General features: G+C 42.5%; 1 annotated feature.

Moving 5' to 3' along the window:
- Positions 1,581 to 2,081: an enhancer, noted in NCBI's record as "H3K27ac hESC enhancer chr1:244364602-244365102 (GRCh37/hg19 assembly coordinates)". NCBI's record gives its function as "activates a minimal SCP1, AML or CMV promoter by ChIP-STARR-seq in primed H9 embryonic stem cells {active_cell/tissue: H9 hESC(primed)}" and the evidence as "EXISTENCE:reporter gene assay evidence [ECO:0000049][PMID:30033119]".

Genomic DNA, 2,407 nt, shown 5'->3' with positions numbered 1-2,407 from the left:
ACATCTCATCACCTTCCTACAGGGCCATCCTTCCCCGGGTGATGAGAAACTTAAAGGAAAAACATGGCCTGATCTTGGATGAATTTTAAGAATAGTGATGATTGGGAAAATGAAGAGAATGTGAAATTGGTGATGGTGACGACCATCTCAATTACTGACTGCCAGGCACCCTGCTGAACTTTTCATGTTTGTTATTTTACTTAATACATATAAAATGCCTGTGAAGTAGGTGTTACGAACATCTTTTTGCAAATGAGAAAATCAAAGTTCAGAGACAGTAACTGCTTGTGCCAGAATTCAAGCCCAGCTGTGTCTGGTAACAAAGCCTGTGTACCCCTCAGCCCTGGGTCTGCTGGAGCGGGACCCAAGGAGGGATGAAAACTCCCAACTAGAACTTGATGCCAAGAAGCCTTGAAGTTCCCAACTTTGGGACAGAGCTGGGGTAGAACTTTACATCAGGATTTTGACTCACAAAGAAAAATTCTGACTAATGAAATTCTAGTATTAAATTGAGTGTCTAAAATAACTAAATATCAGCTAGAAAAGTATAGAAATTTTATTCTCTGTATTATGTTTGTAAAGGCAGATTGGAAGTCACATTTAGCTATTTTAATTGATTGCTATTGAGATAGGGAAAAATAACAACCCTTTTAAAGTCTATTATAGGAAGACATTGAATATTCAACGGACAATATAAGACCTTTGGGTGCTTAAGAGTGGGGATTCACAAAAGGAAATCCAGGGTGAAGCTGGGTGCCGAAATGCAATTTATTTCTTTCCATCGTTGCCAAAACCAAATCTAAGCTATTAGGCTGATGCTAAAGTAATTGCAACGTTTGCCATCGAAATTAATGGCAAAAACCGGAATTACTTTTGCACCAACCTAATATTTTTACTCGGGAAAAGCAAATTAAGTGCATGAATACAAAACAGAACAGTATTAACTTTGCTTAAGGCATGACAAAAATTTATCTAGGGGTCTTAGTCATCAACACATCAGTGTTAGCTCAATTAGGAAGAAAGAAAACCTTCCCTTCCCTTCTTCCCTATTCTGGTTTTCATAATTCCCTTTCCCAAGGTTCCAGGGGTCCTGGGATGGCTTCTGGAGATCCAAAAGCCTCACTGTGGGAGGATTTGGTCCTTGCTTCAGGGTGCTTCTCCTTCTCATCAGCCACTGAACTTGTCTCTCGGGGCCAGTTTTCAAATCAATTCATCAGATGGACAAATTCATGCAGATACTTAGCAAGTTGTTATTAAGCTTTAAAATAGGATCTGCTTTAACCTCTGTATGTGCTACCAATGCTGAACATTTTAGGGACGAGGGCGAGGGGGAAAGGAGCTACTTAGGAAAGGAGAGGTTTGTTGCAGGCTGCTCTGTGTAGGCCTGGGCAGGTCCTCAGGGACGGCCTGTGCAGTCCAACCTGAGTAGCGACAAGTGGGCTGTGGACGGGACAAATGGCCACAGGCTATGAGCGTAGGCAGTGGAGGAGACCGTGGCACAGATGTCACTGGCCATTGGGATCCCACCTGTATCCAGCCTCTGACCTCAGACAAACCGCCTGCTGACCTCAGCCTTTTTTTCCCCAAAATCATTTATGTCAGTGCCTGTTTGCACCAGAGCCCAAAGGAGAAATCCCCTTTCTTTACCCCAAACCTCTTGAGCTTCTGGAAGGCAAGAGCGCAGCTTACTCCATGCAAAGCCAGTGCCATGCTCACGCGGGCATTGATTAATGCCGCCAACACTGGTGAGGACCGCGTTCAGAGACCATCCAGCCTCAACCAGTTTAAGCATCCGTGTTCTTTGTGACTCAACTGTATTTCTCTGAGTAACCAACCCTGGGATCCACGTATCTGATGACAGATTTTTCCTGCTGTTCTAAATGTGCTGTCTCTGCTTTTGCATGTATCTCTATATATTTTTGCATTTTAGTATGTATATTCTTATAATTCACTAGTGAAATAAGCCAATGTGTAAACAGACCAATAGATGAAGTGCTCAGATTTGTAGAAATATCACAAGCTATTACCCGGCCATATTTAAAATCCCCTTTTAAGAAACATAGCAATATTATGTCAGATTGTTTGCTGCCCAGGGCTTCTGGCTGATATTTTTCTGGATCTCCTCTTTGTAATAGTAACACGAGACCATCTAAATGTCTACAGGGTGTGCACACTTTCCCCTGACATGCCCTGTATCTAGTACTTATTTTCTGTACTTAATACTTTAGGAAATCTCTACGGAGGTCCTCCAGCAAATGTTAGTGCTCTGAATGCCACAAATGCACTTGAGCCGTGAATGTTTCAATATTTGTAAATAATGTTAAAAGATTGCTTACCCCAAGGGACAGGGACATTAATTCTGTGGAAAACTGGGGCACAACAGCACTGGGGGACCTGGTCCCAGAAT

Source organism: Homo sapiens, chromosome 1 (assembly GCF_000001405.40).
Source record: "Homo sapiens chromosome 1, GRCh38.p14 Primary Assembly".
NCBI classification, from domain to species: Eukaryota; Metazoa; Chordata; class Mammalia; order Primates; family Hominidae; genus Homo; species Homo sapiens.
This window is presented reverse-complemented; position numbering and strand designations above follow the sequence as displayed.